This window comes from Homo sapiens, chromosome 9 (genome assembly GCF_000001405.40).
Source record: "Homo sapiens chromosome 9, GRCh38.p14 Primary Assembly".
NCBI classification, from domain to species: domain Eukaryota; kingdom Metazoa; phylum Chordata; class Mammalia; order Primates; family Hominidae; genus Homo; species Homo sapiens.
In genome coordinates this window covers 33,264,982-33,283,391 of record NC_000009.12, presented here as the reverse complement: position 1 = coordinate 33,283,391, position 18,410 = coordinate 33,264,982, and the positions used below count along the sequence as shown (strand labels likewise).

General features: G+C 41.5%; 1 protein-coding gene across 2 annotated transcripts, besides 1 other annotated feature; it reads right to left on the bottom strand.

Annotated features, from left to right (window-relative positions):
- Window positions 1-1,321: 1,321 nt before the first annotated feature.
- CHMP5 (charged multivesicular body protein 5) lies at window positions 1,322-18,343 on the bottom strand. Of its 2 annotated transcripts, NM_016410.6 has the most exons (8): window positions 18,245-18,343; window positions 17,278-17,382; window positions 15,493-15,539; window positions 12,676-12,769; window positions 12,169-12,240; window positions 6,828-6,936; window positions 5,167-5,279; window positions 1,322-2,583 (listed from the first exon to the last, which is right to left on the bottom strand). In NM_016410.6, exons 1-8 carry the CDS (start codon window positions 18,311-18,313, stop codon window positions 2,533-2,535), a joined length of 660 nt encoding a protein of 219 aa, NP_057494.3. In that variant the 5' UTR covers window positions 18,314-18,343; the 3' UTR covers window positions 1,322-2,532. The 2 variants fall into 2 exon arrangements, with proteins under 2 accessions (NP_057494.3, NP_001182465.1); NM_001195536.2 differs by lacking the exon at window positions 5,167-5,279.
- Window positions 18,136-18,375: an enhancer, noted in NCBI's record as "active region_28291". NCBI's record gives its function as "activates an Ori minimal core promoter by ATAC-STARR-seq in GM12878 lymphoblastoid cells {active_cell/tissue: GM12878}" and the evidence as "EXISTENCE:reporter gene assay evidence [ECO:0000049][PMID:35858748]".

The following is an 18,410-nucleotide window of genomic DNA, read 5'->3' as shown; positions in this document are numbered from 1 at the left end:
AGAAAGGTAAGAGTAGCTATATGTGATCAGTGTACTCAAGGAAGTGAAACTATGCGAGAAGAGAAGACATTCCAAAAGACTATGTGAGAGACATCTAGGCCAGCGAGAGTTGAGAGAAGGAGAGGAGGAGTTAGATTTGAGAAACAGGGATTAGGGTTTAAGGATAATTGACTGTGTAGGCAAAATGTAGGCATCAAGGACAACTCAAGCGCTTTCTGTTTTAAATGATAGGAGAATAATAATTCCATTAGCCTCACAGCCTCCCATCATGAGACAATGGTTTCCCTGTCTCACATCTCCCATCATGAGACAGGGAAAACAGAAGCAGGAGATTCAGGTCTGAGGAAAGGTGATAGGCTGTTTCAGCTATTTGAATGTGAGGTGCTTGTGGGCTTCTGGAACATCCAAATATTTGTTAGGCAAACAGCTGGATATAAATAAGATTCTGAAACTCAGGGGCAAGTTCAGGGATAGAAGTATAGATTTGGAAGTTAGCAGTTAAAGCCATGAGAATAGCTGAGATCACTAAATGTAAGTAAACAGAGAAAGAAGTCTGGGGGGTAAAAGCTAGAATCCAGAGGAGCAGTAACATTACAGTTAGAGAGTTGAGGATTTCAGAAAGAAGCCTTAGAGGGAATAGTTAGAGGAACAGGAGAACCGGAGAGTACTATCACAAAACCCAAGAGAGTAGAGATTTAGGTAGAATGATTGCTCACTCATATCCAATGCACTAATGTGGTCTAGCTAAAGGGCTAAATATCACCCACTAAAATGGGCAATATATGAATCACTGGTAACACTAAGCAAGACGAGAAATCAACGAGAAATGTTTGCTGACAGTGAACCCCAAGATAATGAGCTTAATTTGGATATGTTAGATTCTAGGTAACGATGGGGCATTTAAGTGGAAATGCCCAGAATTGAAAATAAGGATAAGAAGTCTAGGCTAGTGACAGTCATTTTGAGTCATTAGTGTGTAGGTAATAGTTGATATCATGGGTGTGAGATTTCTCAAGTAGAATACAGATTGGAACTCTAATGGAAGAAATATTCAAGGGGCTAAGAAAGAGGTATCCATATAAGAGAGTAAGTGGGCCAGATTAGAAGAAAACACAGAACTCACAGAAAAGCCAAGAAAGGTTTCAAGAAGGTAATGATGAATACTATAATGTTTGCTCCCTCTGGAAGGCTTCTTGAGAAGGTGAGGTTGGAGATAGGAGAGGGTTACATACGTTATCTCATCTCCACTTGTAACTAGACAAGAACTCCTGAAGAGAGGAACTTGGTAACCCCTGGGCTGGTACAGAGACTTCTACAAAGCTGGTGTTCCTAAATGTTTATTGGTTTGATCTGCAGACACATGAGAGTCAGGTGCACATAGCACTGTGAGGCACCCAGCTAGGCTGGAGGGGCCATGCTGTTGGCAACAAGTTGAATGAGGAAGGGAGGACAGGATCATTAAAGACCCTGAAATTGGGCAGGAGTTTGAACTTGCTGTAGTACTCCAGGCACCTTCCAAGAAAAGAATGAAGCAGTTTCTTTTTTATTGTTAACAATCCCTCATATAAGAATAGCCCCTTGCAGTTAACAAGGTACTTATGACCATTACCTCAATTATTCCTCACAAAAGCTCTGTGAGTTAAGCATGATTTTACTAATAAGGAAACAGAAGGTTAGAGAGGTTGAATAGACTACTCAGTAGTTAGTAAATGGTAGACCCAGGGCCCAAGCCCAGATTGTTCCTTGCTCTTTCCTCACAATGCTACTGGTTAATTTGGTTTCTGTAGTGGAGTTATAGGCTGAAATGACATTAAAATTCTATTAAATTTGGTTTCCGCAGTAGAGGTTTTAAGCTGAAGTGATATTATTAAAATTATATCCTTTTGAAAAATATTTATTGAGTATAAATAAATGTCCTATACATTAAATATCAAGAAATATTCATAATTGATTACAAGTCAAGATGTAATACTGAGGGAACCATAGAATCAAAATACCCACTCATGATACAGTAGTGATAATTCCATTCCAATAATGGACACAGTAACGACTTGTTCACAAGACACAACAAAACCCATCAAAAAGGCCATCACTTTAACCAACCTATAATACCACAATAGAAAATGATTCTGAATCATAATATGAACAGCCCCAATAATCTCATCTTTGTCTTATCAATTTATCAGGTCATTTTGAGACTGTAGAGTTACACTGTCATAGACTTTTAAGATTCCATTTCCTTAGTTTTATTTCAAATTATTATTAATGAATGAAAACAAGTCATACGAGCTAAAAATACTTTTAAACTGAGTTCGTTTTTCATAAGAAAAAAAGGAATCAAATTTTAGTACGAAGAAAGCATTTCCCAAGCAATGAGTCTCTTAATGGAAAAAATAAAAGAGCAATGTAATTAAACTTTCCTTCAAAGAAAGGAAAGAAACCTAAATCTGTTATGGCAAATTTGGAAAGATAAATATTTCCTAGTCCCATAATATGTGTTTGTTTTACAAGATATGCTTGAATGATGCAAATCTATGAAGCAGGGATCTGTGGCAATCCAAATTCATCCACCAGAACTCCATCCTGTAAAAAGGAAGCAATGTTTAGTGCCACTATTTTTCTATTTGATAAAAAAAAAAAGGATTACAAACATTTAATAGTTAAAACTCATTTCCAAGTATTTAATCAATCAAAACCAAAATCGCAGTCATAAGATGAGAACAAGCTTTTTCATGAAAGGTAAAGGAGGAAGTGATGAATCAAGAAGAGAACTAGAAAGGGCCAAAAGGGGGCTCCTCCACAGGGGAAAGAGAGTGAAAGAGGGAGAAAGAGAAATCTAAGAGTAAACCTGGAAAGGGGAAAAGGAGGCTGGGAGAGTCAAAAAGGAAAGGTTGAGGAGTGGGTCCTTGCCTCCAGATTTGCATTTTCACTCTGGACCAATACCTTTCTTAGCCTCCCAAATCCTTGAAGGAGCAGTGCCCGTGGATAGGCAGTCACTTCCATATCATGCTTTACTATAATCATAGGCAGCGACATCACTATCAATGAAAACACCAGGGCTGCTCTGCCTATGGAGTAGCCATTCTTTTATTCCTTTACTTTAAAAACAACAACAGGCCGGGCGCGGTGGCTCAGGCCTGTAATCCCAGCACTTTGGGAGGCTGAAGCAGGTGGATCATTTGAGGTCAGGAGTTCGAGGCCAGCCTGACCAACATAGTGAAATCCCATCTCTATTAAAAACAAAAAAATTAGCCAGGTGTGGTGAAGCATGCCTGTAATCTCAGCTACTTGGGAGGCTGAGGTGGGTGGATTGCTTGAATCCGGGGGTGGAGGTTGCAGTGAGCTGAGATTGTGCCACTGCACTCCAGCCTGGGTGACACAGCGGGACTCCATCTCAAAAAGATAAAACAACAACAACAACAAAACCCCCATATATCCACAGCATATATAACTCAGGAATCTGTGACCTTCTCAAAGTGGAAATAACATAGATGCTTCAGGGACTTTTTTTTTTTTTTTTTTTTTGAGATTGAGTTTTGCTCTTTTTGCCCAGGCTGGAGTGGTACAATGGCACGACCTCGGCTCACTGCAAGCTCCGCCTCCCGGCTTCAAGTGATTCTCCTGCCTCAGCCTCCCAAGTAGCTGGGATTACAGGAGCCTGCCACCACGCCCAGCTAATTTTTTATATTTTTAGTAGAGACGGGGTTTCACCATGTTGGCCAGGATGGTCTCGATCTCTTGACCTCGTGATCCGCCTGCCCCAGCCTCCCAAAGTGTTGGGATTACAGGCTTGAGCCACCGCGCCTGGCCGCTACAGGGACTTGTTACTAGAAAATTAACAAGGTGGACTATGGTAGTATTAATAAAAATTATTTCATGGGTTGCTGAGAAAAAGCAACCCATGGACCTGGGACCTTGAAGTTGCCAGAGAGGTCGGGGAGGAGTGGGCAGTTCAGAAAGGCAAGACTATCCCAGGCTCAACAGAGAAGGGAAGGATACAATAGAGGAAGATGCATACTCACAGAAACCAGTAATAATGGACCTAAGAAATTACCTGCTCCCTGCCCTTTGCTCTCACATTTTACAGGTAGGAAAAACTGATGAGGTTCAAAAAGAAGACATAAATTTCTGCTATTTTGCTCAAAGTCACACCTTGCCCAGCCTGGTTGTCATTATTAGTGGCTCATGCCTGTAATCCCAGCACTTTGGAAGGCTGAGGCAGGCAGATCACCTGAGACCAGGAGTTTGAGACCAGTCTGGCCAACATGGTGAAACCCCGTCTCTACTAAAAATACAAAAATTAGCCAGGCATGTTGGCGCGCACCTGTAATCGCAGCTACCTGGGGTGGCTGAGGCACGAGGATTGCTTGAACCAGGGGGGCGGAGGTTGCAGTGAGCTGAGATCACGCCACTGCACTCCAGCCTGAGTGACAGAATGAGTCTCTGTCTCAAAAAAAAAGACAATCATGTAGATTTGGACAGAGCTTTAAGTTTGCACAGTCCTTTACATACAAGATCTAATTTGCTTGCACAACAATTACGTGAGATACTTGTAATTATCTGCATTTTACAGATGCAAGGAAAAGAAAAGCTTACAATAGCTAAGTAATTAGTCATACTTAGTGTCAGGTGTTCTGATTCTTTTGCCTTAAATTAGAATCTTTCTACATTAAGTTTTATGCTTAAATTATTAATCCATAGTTTAGAAAATCCACCCATTCTAAACTCCTGTGTGTACAGGAAAAAAAAAAAAGAAAAAGAAAGGAAAATAAAATTAAAAATCCAGCCAGTAATTAACTGGTGTGTATGAAGAGTGAGACTTTTTCACTGCTGCCTAGCAAGTCTCATGCATGTGTTGCTTACGCTTTTACAGGAAATGTCTAAGACCCATCAATGGTACCCAGTGCCAGCTCACAACAAGGGTGATCATGTATGTTACACAAATTGTCATTCTATAAAAATATTCCTGAGCCTCAGTGACAGTGTTTATGCAGTCAGTTCATCATCCAATGCAGAAAAACCGGACCTTCAAGGGTTCACAAAATAATGACCAGGACTGTCTTTCTTTGTTCTAATGTTAAGACTACCTTTTAGATTCCCAGACTTATGGTCAAGCATAAAGCCTTTGCTATTTTGCATTGAAATATAAACAGAAAAAGCTTTCACCTTGTTTTTTGTATCAGTGGGAACACCTTCTGGAATTGCAGGTGCAGATGCTGCCTCATCCAAATAAGAACTGTCTTCATCAGCCAGAAGCTCATCACCTAGTGCATCCAACTCTGAGATTGAAACAGTCAACATTTAAAAAAAATGTAACCAAGAAAACTGGCAGCTAATAATTTCTCTCATTTATCGATGGACTTGAAAGAAGGCAGTGAAGAGGGCATGAGATTGTTGTATGCTGTGTGACCATTACGTGAAATCAGACTCCAAAAATAAGTCTGTGGTAAAATGAGTTGGAAGTGGCCAAGAGGAATGACAATAGCAGGTAGAGACTTATCAGGGGCAATTGAAGATGGGAAATTAAAAAATAAAGAAATAAGTGGAAAAAAAATGAAAGGTTCTAGGCAAAAATAGACCATGGAGAGAGCGGGAAAGCAGCAGTAGTAATGTAACAGGGGAATCACACAATAGAAATCCAGTGTGGAATGGTTCTGTCATCTACCCAGTTACTCATGCTAGAAACTGACAGCCACCCTTGACACCTCCCACTTCTTCCACATCCTGTCAATCATTAAGTCTTGTCCACTCAATTTTCTAAGATGTCTTCAATCTGTCCACTTCTGTCTGTTTCTGCTACCATCACCCTAGCTAGTCTCGGCCACCATCATCTCTTAAATGGCTATCGCAATAACTTCCAGACTGCTCTCCCTGAGGCCATTCGACAACCCTTCTCATTTTTTCATGCTATCCCCTACTCACCCTTCAGGTCCCATGCCTCTCTCCCACTACTAACTAGGTTAGAGTCCCTTAGTATGTGCTCCCATGCTACCCCATACTTCTTCCCTATAGTCTGTGCTCTAGTAATTAATTACTTGAAGCAAACCATTTATGTCTTCCACTGCTAGAGAAGGTTCATGAATGTAGGGGCTGCATTTTTATTCAGTGCTAAATTCCCACCACCTAGTAGAGTACCTGGCATAGAGTAGATGCACACTAAGTATTTGCCAACTATTCTTTTTTTTTTTTTTTTTTTTTTTTGAGAGAAGGTCTCACTCTGTTGCCCAGGCTGCAGTGGGGCAATCTCGGCTCACTGGAACCTCTACCTCCTGGGATCAAGTGATCCTTCCACCTCAGCCTCCCGAGTAGCTAGGACCGCAGGCGCACACCACCATGCCTGGGTAATTTTTGTATTTTTTATAGAGACGGGGTGACGCCATATTGCTCAGCCAGGTCTCGAACTCCTGGGCTTGAGTGGATCCGCCTACCTTGGCCTTCCAAAGTGCTGGGATTAGGGCACCTGGCCCTAATTATTGTTTCTTAATTGGTTTTGCTGTTCTGAGGGAGAGGACTCCAACTAGGAAAATAGTGAGAACAAAATCAAAAGGAATACAGCAAGGAAAGGCCACGTGGAGGACACTTACAGATACCAAGCACCAGGTCAGCCTGTACCTGGACTTCCTTCAGAGTTGATCCATCCCACTGTTGTTGGTGGAGTATGCAATCTGATGTGGCTGCCTCACAAGCTCTTTGCCCAGGGACAGTACCATAAACTAACCTTCAGGAAATCCTGATAGAAATTTTCACTAGCATTTGAGAAAAGGTCCCAGGCAGCTGTTGCTTTTGGACTCCAAAACTAAATATACATTACTTTTCTCATAACTTACCTGCTTCTAAATCATCTTCATCCAGTTCTGGGGTGCCATAACTGCGACTCAGTGCTTCTTGGATTTCATTTGCATCTTCCATCATATCCTCTAGCTGGTCTTGTAAATCCTACGGAAATATATATGAGAGGATTTTCTCTCATTTACCATTTTCTTTTAACTACCCTTTTCCCCTACATTCTCCTTTGAATCTAGACATGAGCAATTTTTAAAAAGATAATGTATATAAAATGCCAAGCACATAAACAGTTCTCAACAACTGTTAGTTCACCTCCCCTATCCCAGTCTTTGGCTAGCAATTTTTTAATGTTAACAACTGAGCAGACACTCCTCTAAAGGACAGGTTCAAGTAACTCTTAAAACATCCCTTCTAATTAAAAGTATGAGAGAATGCTTAAAGAATTAAAAACCATAAGCCCAAAGACCTCCTCTAACAATAATTATGAATGTTACTGACCCACATAATCCCTTGCCTATTTTTGGTGGCAAAATGTGAACTTAAAGAATAGAATTGATGATCTCTCATTTTATTTTTTACTTTATTTATTTATTTATTGAGATGGAGTCTCGCTTTGTCACCCAGGCTGGAGTGCAATGGTGCAATCTCAGCTCACTGCAACCTTCACTTCCCGGGTTCAAGTGATTCTCCTGCCTCAGCCTCCAAATAGCTGACATTACAAGTGTGCACCACCACGCCTAGCTAATTTTTGTATTTTCAGTAGAGGTGGGGTTTTGCCATGTTGGTTAGGCTGGTCTCAAACTCCTGACCTCAGGTGATCTGCCCACCTCAGCCTCCCAAAGTGCTGGGATTATAGGCATGAGCTACTGTGCCCGGCTGGATTTGATTTTAAAGTGCCTCATGGAAGCCCAAAGTCCTATGTGAGAATAGATGATTGTCAGCTGTCTACTATTACAGAAAGTTTTACTTGAAACATTAAATCAAGCAATTATCTTGATCTAAACTGTCAATCATTTTCTAGTTAATGAAGACAGGGAGGTTACTGAGACAAGCAAATTATTCTTCTCAAGTCAGCGAAAGACAGATTACACTGTGTAGAGAAAGGAGGCAAGAGTAGAAACAACTGAAGTGGTACAAAAAGTGAGTTGTACATGGGCCCACCCTGGATGGAGAATCAGAAAGGGAATCAGGATAGGTGTCACAGCCAAGACAAGGCTGGTGAAAAAAATGGACCAAGGGCATAAACCCTGTGTGAATAATCTACCTGTGCTTAACTGGGAGATTACTACAAGGCTAAAAATGCAGTTGTCCCTTGGTACACGCAAGGGATTGGTTCCAGGATGTCTGTCTATACCAAAATCTGCCCACACCCAAGTCCCCAGTTGGTCCTCCATATGGGTGGTTTCGCATCCTGCAAACACTATATTTTCGATCCTCGTTTGGTTGAAAAATATCTGCATATAAGTGACTCGTGCAGTTCAAACTGCATTTGCTGTTCAAGGGTAAACTGTAATATGAAACCAATCTAAGAAGTGGTATAGCATAACAAAGGGCAGCTGGTATAATGGTTAGGAGTGAGACTCTGGAGTCAGATATACCCAAGTTCAATTTTGCCATTACTCAATGAGAAGTAATGTCTCTAAGCCTTATTTTCCTCATCTGTAAAATGGAATTATTAATAGCCATATCTGGCCAGGCGCGGTGGCTCATGCCTGTAATCCTAGCACTTCAGGAGGCCAAAGTGGGTGGATTGCCTGAACTCAGGAGTTCGCAACCAGTCTGGGCAACATGGTGAAACCCCATCTCTACTAAAATACAAAAAATTAGCCAGGCATGGTGGCATGCGCCTGTAATCCCAGCTACCCGGGAGGCTGAGGCAGGAAAATCGTTTGAACCCAGGAGGCAGAGGTTGCAGTGAGCCGAGATCGCGCCACCGCACTCTAGCCTGGGCGACAGAGCGAGACTCTGTTTCAAAAATAAATAAATAAATAAAATAGCCATATCTCACTGGGGTTATTGTAAGGATTTATTGCAATAATATATGTAAAACACTAAGCACCTAATACTATATATATTTTACTGTGTTAATTATGTGCGGAACAACAATACACTCTTCATATACTAAAATTCCACACAGACAGGAACAGAACTAGTGTTGATAAAGCAAAAGGACCAAATCAGCACCATTTATCCTTCAGAATTTCTAAAGCAATGCAAGACATTTGAAAATTCTGCTGGGTGCAGTAGCTTATGCCTGTAATCCAAGCACTCTGGGAGGCAAAAGAGGGCGGATCACTTGAGCTCAGGAGTTTGGGACCAACCTGGGGAACATGGCAAAACCTCATCTCCACAAAAAAATACAAAAATTAGCTGGGCATGGTGCATGCTTGTAGTCTCAGCTACTCAGGAGACTGAAGTAGAAGGATGGCTTGAGCCTGGGAGGCAGAGGTTGCGGTGAGCTGAGACTGAGTCACTATAATCCAGCCTAGGCAACAGCAAAAAAAAAAGAAAAAAGAAAATTCCTTCCTGGCCCCCATAAAGGTGAAAGGTGAAAAGGGTAGTAAAATGGAGGGGAAATTTTTTTTTTAAACTTTGATTTTCTGTATTTCCAAGTACCAAACTGCCAAATTATATGCATATTTAACACTCTGCTACACAGAGAAGCACTGGCTGAGTAATAATTAAAGACAATGAAAATAACATAGAGAAAGCTAATCAAGTCAAGCTTATACAATAGTATTACACATCAAGACACATCTTCCCGGATCATCTATGAATAGGATTCCTAGCAAGACTCCAGGATAGACACAGAAAAAATTTATCCCACAAACCATTAACTGGTTCTCTATTGTATAAACAAACAAAAGCAATATAAAAAAAAAAAGCACTAAGCTAAAAAGAACATTGACAAAGTGATATGCAGCAACTGAAAAAGCAGAAGAAAAACAGACCTACACACACACAACAGCAAAATAAAAAGTTAAAGCTATAAAACAATGAAAATATTTTCTAAGTAAAGCATTTTAGGAAAATAAATCTGACCAAAAAATTCGATCTAACCAAAGACACATACACACCAAAAGAGTTAAAGGGGCTCTCCACCTGTCATGCTGGCAATCTATTGGAGGACAGGAAAAGGATAATTAGGCAGGGAGACAGACAGACAACCACAGGTGAAAGACGAAGAGACATACAAAGCATTCACCAAGACCAAAGTTTCTCTTTTGTTCCTATTAAATAGCTTTAATTAAAACACAAGGAACCCTAAAAGCAGAAAATACCATTGCATTTCATTATATTTTAATGGCAAATGATATTATACAAAAAAAAAAATGGCTGGGAGTGGTGGCTCATACCTGTAATCCCAGCACTTTGGGAGGCCGAGGTGGGCGGATCACTTGAGGTCAGGAGTTTGAGACTAGCCTGGCCAACATGGCGAAACCCCATCTCTACTAAAAAAATACAAAAATTAGCTGGGTGTGGTGGCAGGCACCTGTAATCCCAGCTATCTGGAAGGCTGAGGCAGGAGAATTGCTTGAACCCAGGAGGCGGAGGTTGCAGTGAGCCGAGATCACACTGCACTCCAGCCTTGGTGACAGAACGAGACTCTGTCTCAACAACAACAACAAAAAAAGACAAGCATATACAGAACACTTTCATCAGTGAAGCTCTTAGAGAGTATCACAAAGTTTAATTCCATGTATGCAAACATTTGTGGAGGATTAGAGACAGACAAAGGCAACCTAAGAGGGATGCTTGAAAAAATAAGAGAGGGGAGGAATGCCTTCACTCTTTTATTTTTTTTTGAGACGGAGTCTTGCTCTGTCGCCCAGGCTGGAGTGCAGTGGCGCAATCTTGGCTCACTGCAAGCTCTGCTCTCGGGTTGCCATTCTCCTGCCTCAGCCTCCCGAACAGCTGGGACTACAGGCACACACCACCATGCTCGGCTAATTTTTTGTATTTTTGGTAGAGACAGGGTTTCACCGTGTTAGCCAGGATGGTCTTGATCTCCTGACCTCATGATCCACCCGCCTCGGCCTCCCAAAGTGCTGGGATTACAGGAGTGAGCCACCATGCCCAGCCTGCCTTCACTCTTACTAAAGATCAGCTTTATGAGAGAATATCTTTGCAGAGGCAATAAAATGCCTGGTATTTTAACAAACACTGCTTGAATCAGGCTGTACTGCTTTCTCTCTTTTTTTTTTTTTTTTTGCTTTATCTCCCTTTATAGCCTCTGATTCATCAACCAGCAAATACTTTCTGAGCACCAACCATGGCAGGGCATTGTTATGGGCACTGGGGACACAGTAGTGAACAAAATCAAGTCCCTGCATTCAAGGAAATGGACATTCTAGTCAGGGGGGTAAAGGTCAAGAGCGCCATTTTATATGCAGAAAGGAAGCCTCTCTCCTCTGACCAGTCACCACTCACTCCCTCTGCTATCTCTTCTTGCCACCTGGGCTGTTCATCTGACAGCTGAGAGCTGCCAAGCTCTTAGGGCTCATCTCCCTGGTCAAAACCCAATTCCAATAAGAAATGCTAACTTTAAGGAACTAATGACATTATTATTAAAAATCTAAAGAGAATTACTAGAAAAGGGAACCAAGTCTACCACGCCAGGAGTTGGGTTAAACATTTTACATACACTTTACCTACATACCTTCATTTAACACTCATGACAATCCTGGGAATAGGCAACAACACCACTACCATCGAAGAAACAGACTAAATATCATCGAATTAGTTAAAAGTAACTACTGGATGCTTATCATAGGCCAGGCATTGTGTGTGTAGAGATACTAGCTCATTTATTTCATCCTCATAATATAGAAGTTCCTTGACTTATGATAGGGTTACATCCTGATAAACCCATCTTAAGTTCAAAATATCTTAAGTAGAAAGTGCATTCAATACACCTAACTTACTGAACCATCACTTAGCCTAGCCTACCTTAATTGTGCTCAGAACACTTACATTAGCCTACAGTTGGGCAAAATCATCTAACAGCCTATTTCATAATAAAGTGTTGAGTATCTCATGTAATTTATTAAATATTGTATGGAAACTGAAAAACAGAATGGTTACGTGGATACTCAAAGTATGGTTTCTACTGAATGCATATAGTTTTCGCACCATCATCAAACTGAAAAATCGTTAAGTTGAACCGTCTTAAATCGGGGACTGTCTGTAACTGTATGTGGTATTAGGATCCTTGCACTGAGGAAACTGAGACATTTGGTACCCTTTCTCGAAGTTACTCTACTAGTAAATGGCAGCCCCAAGATTCAGTTCCTCTCCTGTGCTCTTCCTATCACATGCACACTCGTTTGGATTCTCTCAGAAACTAGTGCACATTCTTGCAGAAACTAGCATATGTCTCACCTCAATCTGGTCGATCTTCACTTGCTTGTATGCCTTCTTCATTTCCTTTACTCCCAGTTTCATAGCATCAACCTAAGAAAAGGAAGAAGAAAACACAATGTTTTAGTAAGTCATGTTGGTTAAATTGTCTTTATTTATTTATTTATTTATTTGAGACAGAGTTGCACTCTTGCTGCCCAGGCTGGAGTGCAATGGCTCACTGCAACCTCCGCCTCCTGGGTTCAAGTGATTCTCCTGCCTCAGACTCCCAGGTAGCTGGGATTACAGGTGCACGCCACCACACCCAGCTAATTTTTGTATTTTTAGTAGAGGCAGGGTTTCACCATGTTGGTCAGGCTGGTCTCAAACTCCTGACATCAGGTGATCCACCCACCTCAGCCTCCCAAAGTGTTGGGATTACAGGCGTGAGCCACTGTGCCTGGCTGGTTAAACTGTCTTTAAAAAGCCATCGGAAAAGAGAATAAGAATAAATACATGAAATAACAGGAAAAGGTGTTTTGGGAGTACCGTGGTCTTGGTGTCCTTCAAAGACTGGATGGTATAATTGGCTTGTTCCATGTTGAATGACTGTTGGGCAAGATTGTCCCGCTGCTGCTCATACCTTTTTAGAGTCAATTGAGAATGGCAAATATATGAACCAGATAGAAATCCTCAAGAACAAAGTATCCCCACACTAAATAAGAGTATTTAAAAAAAAAACAACGGAACAAAAAACTTAAAAATTAGGTATCACGCAGAAAAATTGGCAAAAACAATTTAATCACTCTAACACAAATATCATTTGATGTGTCCCTCCAGTCTTTTTCCTTTGCATGTACAGTCATGCATCGCTTAACAATGGGGATATGTTCTGAGAAATATGTTGTTAGGCACTTTCATCATTGTGCAAACATCAGACAATGTATTTACACAAACCTAGGTGGTATAGCCCACTATTCACCTAAGCTATATGATATAGCCTACTGCTTGCTCCTAGGCTACAAACCTGTACAGCATGTTACTGTACTGAATATTGTAGCCAATTGTAACACAATGGTATTTGTGTATCTAAACATCCTATAGAAAAGGTACAGTAAAAATACAGTATTATAACCTTATAGGGGCCAGAGTGGTATAATGCAGTCTGTTCTGTCATTCATTGACAAAAACATTGTTATGCAGCACATGACTGTATTTTAGTTATAACACTATTTTCCACTTAACATTATAGCATTTGCTTTTTTCTGTGTTGCTGCATATCTTTTTTTTTGAGACAGAGTTTCACTTTTGTTGCCCAGGCTGGAGTGCAATGGTACGATCTCGGCTCACTGCAGCCTCCACCTTCCTGGGTTCAAGAGATTCTCCTGCCTCAGCCTCCGGAGTAGCTGGGATCACAGGCATGCGCCACCACGCTTGGTTAATTTTGTATTTTTAGTAGAGACGGGTTCTTCCATGTTGGTCAGGCTGGTCTCGAACTCCCAACCTCAGATGATCCGCCCACCTCGGCCTCCCAAAGTGCTGGGATTACAGGCATGAGCCACCGCACCCGGCCTGCTACATATCTTAATAAGGCTTTATAATTATTTTCTATGATAAATATACAGAAGTGAAATTCTTAGAGCAAAGGGTAAAACTATTTTTAAGGCTCTTCATACATATAGCTAAATGGTTTTCCAGAATTTTGAACTCCTTGAAGACAGGCATATTTTATTTTGTTTATTTATTTACTTATTTATTTGTTTAGAGCCAGTCTTGCTCTGTTGCCCAGGCTGGAGTATAGTGGTGCCATCTCAGCTCACTGTAACCTCTGCCTCCTGGGTTCAAGCGATTCTCCTGCCTCAGCCTCCCAAGTAGGTGGGATTACAAGCGCATGCAAACACGCCCAGCTAATTTTTGTATTTTTAGTGGAGATGGGGTTTCACCATGTTGGCCAGGCTTATCTCCAACTCCTGACCTCAAGTGAGCTTCTGTCTTGGCCTCCCAAAGTGCTGGGATTATAGGTGTGAGCCACTGTGCCCAGCCCCAGGTGTTTTATTAATTTTGCACCCATAATTAGGTAATCCATCTGACCTAATGTGTGGTGTTCAAAATGTTTTTAAAATACAGTTTTATATCAAATTATAATATTACCTCAAAGACTTATGTCACTATGTTCTTTATACAATATTGGAAACAATCTAACTATCCAACTAGAAAAAGAATGGTCCGTTCATGGTGCAAGCAAATGGTAGAATATTATAATCTCATTAAAAAGTGTAAAGTTTCCAAAGAATATTTAAAAGAACAGGGAGATGCTCATGATATAACATTAAGTGGAAAAGGAAAACCTACATATACACACTACAATTTCATTTCTTCTAAAAAGTTATATGCACACATACCACGTATGCAGAAGCAGAGGAAAGAAACTGGAAGAAATTAGCATTTTAAAGGTGGTTATTTCTAGTAGTAAGAATCTAGGTAAATTTTATTTTCTTCTGTTCATATTTATGTATTTTCCAAGTTTCTACAATGAACCTATATTCTTTTTATAACAAAAAAGGTTACTTAAAACTAGCAATGCCACCAATTAAGAAGGTAAATCATTTCACCACACCCTCACCAGTCTAGGCATTACAATTTCTTTTTCCAATTTGATCTAATCTAAAAGGAGGAAGATGGCATCTGGTATCTTATAAAAAGTCATTTTAATATAGGAAGAGAGACACTGACAATCTTTCTGGCTCCTCGATAGCTAATTATACCTGACCTCTATAACCCTGCAGAGGATCTCATCAGCTGAACAGTCTACAGAGGTAGGCACCAAAGATACTAGTTAGCTTCTGCTCAAAATTGGGACATAGTCACCTAAAACAAATTAAGGATCTTTAAATTTATTCTGGTGGGAGGGAACAAACATTTAGGATTCCTAACTTCACAAACAAAAACAAAAAAGGTACACTCTAAAATAAATAATAGGAAAACCAAACCCTACAGATCTGGTCAGTCCAAAACAGTAGTCACTAACCATATAAGGCTACTTAAATTATTTAAATTGAATAAAATTTAAACTTCATTTCCTTAGTCACACTAGCCACATTTCAAGTGCTCAATAGCCACATGTTGCTAATAGCTACTGTATTGAACACACAGATATAGAGCATCTCCATCATGGCAAAAAGTTCTATTTAGATGGAAGTTGTTACAACAGATAACAACCCAGCTAACTGTATTTAATTACACGTCAATGAAAATTTGTAATTAAATCAAGAGTGCTTAGAAAATAGTATGAAAACCTGAAGGAATGGAAGACCATTTCTCTTTTAGTTAAACCTGCTAGAGGTAGAAATTGTGTGTGTAACTTACATCCTCTTTTGCTTTAAAACTCGCAAGGCTTTCTGCTTGACCATATTCTGGAGAGAAAAACAGATTTAATAAAAATAAGGTGGAAAACACATATACGGTAAAAGAAATTTCCCATAGCCTCAAACTCACATGCCTACTTCCTCTCTTCTTCAAAGTAGTAGGCATAATGGCTCCTGGATTCTGTACTTCCCCTCCCAAAAACAGGTATCTCTAAGGTCCAGTCTTTAAGCCTTTGCTCCTATCTGTCTTTGCATCCCACATCCCAGAGTCCTCAACTACTTTCTCTTTTCCTAATGCATATTATCTCTGCCTCTAGCCCCAAAAGTGCTGAGTCTGTATATCCAGTTGCCTTAGGGAGATTCTTCACTTGTACAGCCCATCAACTTAACCTCAACAATTCCAAACTCCTGAACCTTATCTCACCTTTGAAATAAGTAACAATGGCCCACCAATCTCTCACCTCTCTAGGTTGAAAACCTTTTTATCAACCTTATCTTTCCTCTTTCTGTTGTTTCTTCATGCACAGTCATCCTGTTAGCTGATTTCAGAACTCACTTTCAAACTGATTCTTTGGTTTCCTACCACCATGGTTTGGGCTTTCATTGTCTCAAATCTAAATGGGCTTTCCTACCTCTGGTTGCTCTTCATTCCACACCATCCACTAAGATGGCTGGGAAAAGCCTTCCTTTTCTATAGAATTCTGTAGATCATTTTATTTGTCTTCTCCAGTGAGGAAGGAAAAACAGGTATTATTACTTCACAGATGATCATAACTCATATTTACTGAGTACTACTTTATCCTAGACATAGTGGTACACAGGTCACATCAATTACCTCATTTAATCCTCATACTGTAAGGTGGGTATTATCTCTGTTTTACAGATGGGGAAAGAGAGGTTCAGTGATACCCAGGCTCACATGGTTAATAAGTTATGGATCTGGAAAAAACAAGGTAGTTCTATATCCACAGTCCATGTGCTTAAACACAGTATTTTATGTTTCTACCTAACAGGAGTGGAAAATAAGTGACTTTATCAAGGTCACAACTAGAAGGCAGTGACAGTGTATTAGAACACTGGTCCCAGATGCCTAGTTCAGTTTTTCCCAGCAGGCCACTCCTTAAGCAGTCTAATATACCAACCTAACCTGACCAGCTTAGCAAGTCATTGATCTTGAGCACAGCCTAGTCTTCCTCTCCAGATTACCACCTTCTCAGTATAATATGCTAATTCTCATGTACATGCTTTTAGACGTGTGACCAGCATCTCTTTCCACCAGATCAATCCCCAGCCTCCCTTCCATATTTGATTGCAAACTCTCCTCCCTAAAGGATACACCCTCACATGTTTTCTCCTTACCAGACTGTAAGCATCTCTTCTGTAGGGATGCTCACAGCCCCTGCACTAGGTCCTATTTCACTTATTTTTTGAGACGGAGTCTCACACTGTCACTTGGGCTAGAGTGCTATGGTGTGGTCTCTGCTCACTGCAACCTCCGCCTCCCAGGTTCAAGCGATTCTCCTGCCTCAGCCTCCTGAGTAGCTGGGATTACAGGCGCCTGCCACCATGCCCAGCTAAGTTTTTGTATTTTCAGTAGAGACAGGGTTTCGCTATGTTGGCCAGGCTAGTCTCAAATGCCTGACCTCGTGATCCACCCGCCTCAGCCTCCCAAAGTGCTGGGATTACATGCATGAGCCACTGCGCCCAGCCGAACTAGGCCCTATTTCTATAGGTGCTAAAACTAGGCTCTGCCAGCACCTTGTGCAGCAGTTGCTGCCCACCTTACCTTTGCAGGACCCTCTCTCATCTTCTTGATCTGATCCTTATACTTCACTAGCTCAGCATCCAATCGAGAAATCTTCTTGTCAATGGATTCTGCTCTACTGTCCACCTTAGGGGAAAATATCAAATGCACTGGTAGTTACTGCAATACACTTATTCCAGAAGGGGCAGGTAGAGAGGAAGGAATACAGAGGAAGAAAAGAGGAGCTTAAGGGGAAGGGTGAAAAACAGTGGTTCACAAAGAAGGGTATTCCCAACCAGAAACCCTGGGCTTTATAAATTATTCTCTTACCCCCCGCCACACTGCCCCGATTCTGATATACCAGGTAGCCTTCAAGTGGGTTGGGGCAGAAAATAATTTGAGAATCACTGAGTTGAGTTGGAATTTCCCTAGAATCAGAGACTAGCCAGGCTGAGAGTTCCTCCAAGAGGCACATGAAATGGGCCAGTGCCAAGTGAAACCAGCTGATTGTAGATCTAATGCCATTCCCTAAATCGGGGATGGTGGCTTAATCTGAGGGGCTAGGGTTCTGAGTTTTGTGTTACTGAGATCCAGGACGAAGGCACAGATATGTTGACCTAGGATATCAAGCTGAGTCCTGATGTGGACTGGGGATGACAGATGGAAGAAGGGTAAGGGATCAGGCAGGATGAGGTGGGAAGGGTGTATGGGCCTAGGGCTGGGTGAGGTGAGAGGATCAAGGCGAGAGCGAGTGGACGGGCAATGGGCATCAAAACGGGTTGGGTGCTGGCAGGGCAAGGCAGTGATGGGGTTAGGGGTTCCCTGGTTTGTGGCGTTAGGAATGACTTGGGTAACAGGGATGAAGGGGAGAAGGTGAGATAGAGAGGGACGACGTGTAAGGGGCCCAGGACCCGAAATGAAGTGGAAGAATATGGGCCCGGGGCTGGGGGTGGGCGGGGTCGGGTGTGTCAGAGGTCCTGAGCCTACTTATGCATGATCAAATGCCCACCGTGCCAATGCAGTCAGTCAGGCTGGGCGGCGGAGCCTTGGGTTTCGCTTTCCCGAAGAGTCGGTTCATCTTGAGCAGCCGCGAAGAAACCCAAACACTAGAGCAAAACCAGAAACGGAAGCAGAGTCACTCCCGCCTCGACTTCCGGCCCCTCCGTGCGCAAGCG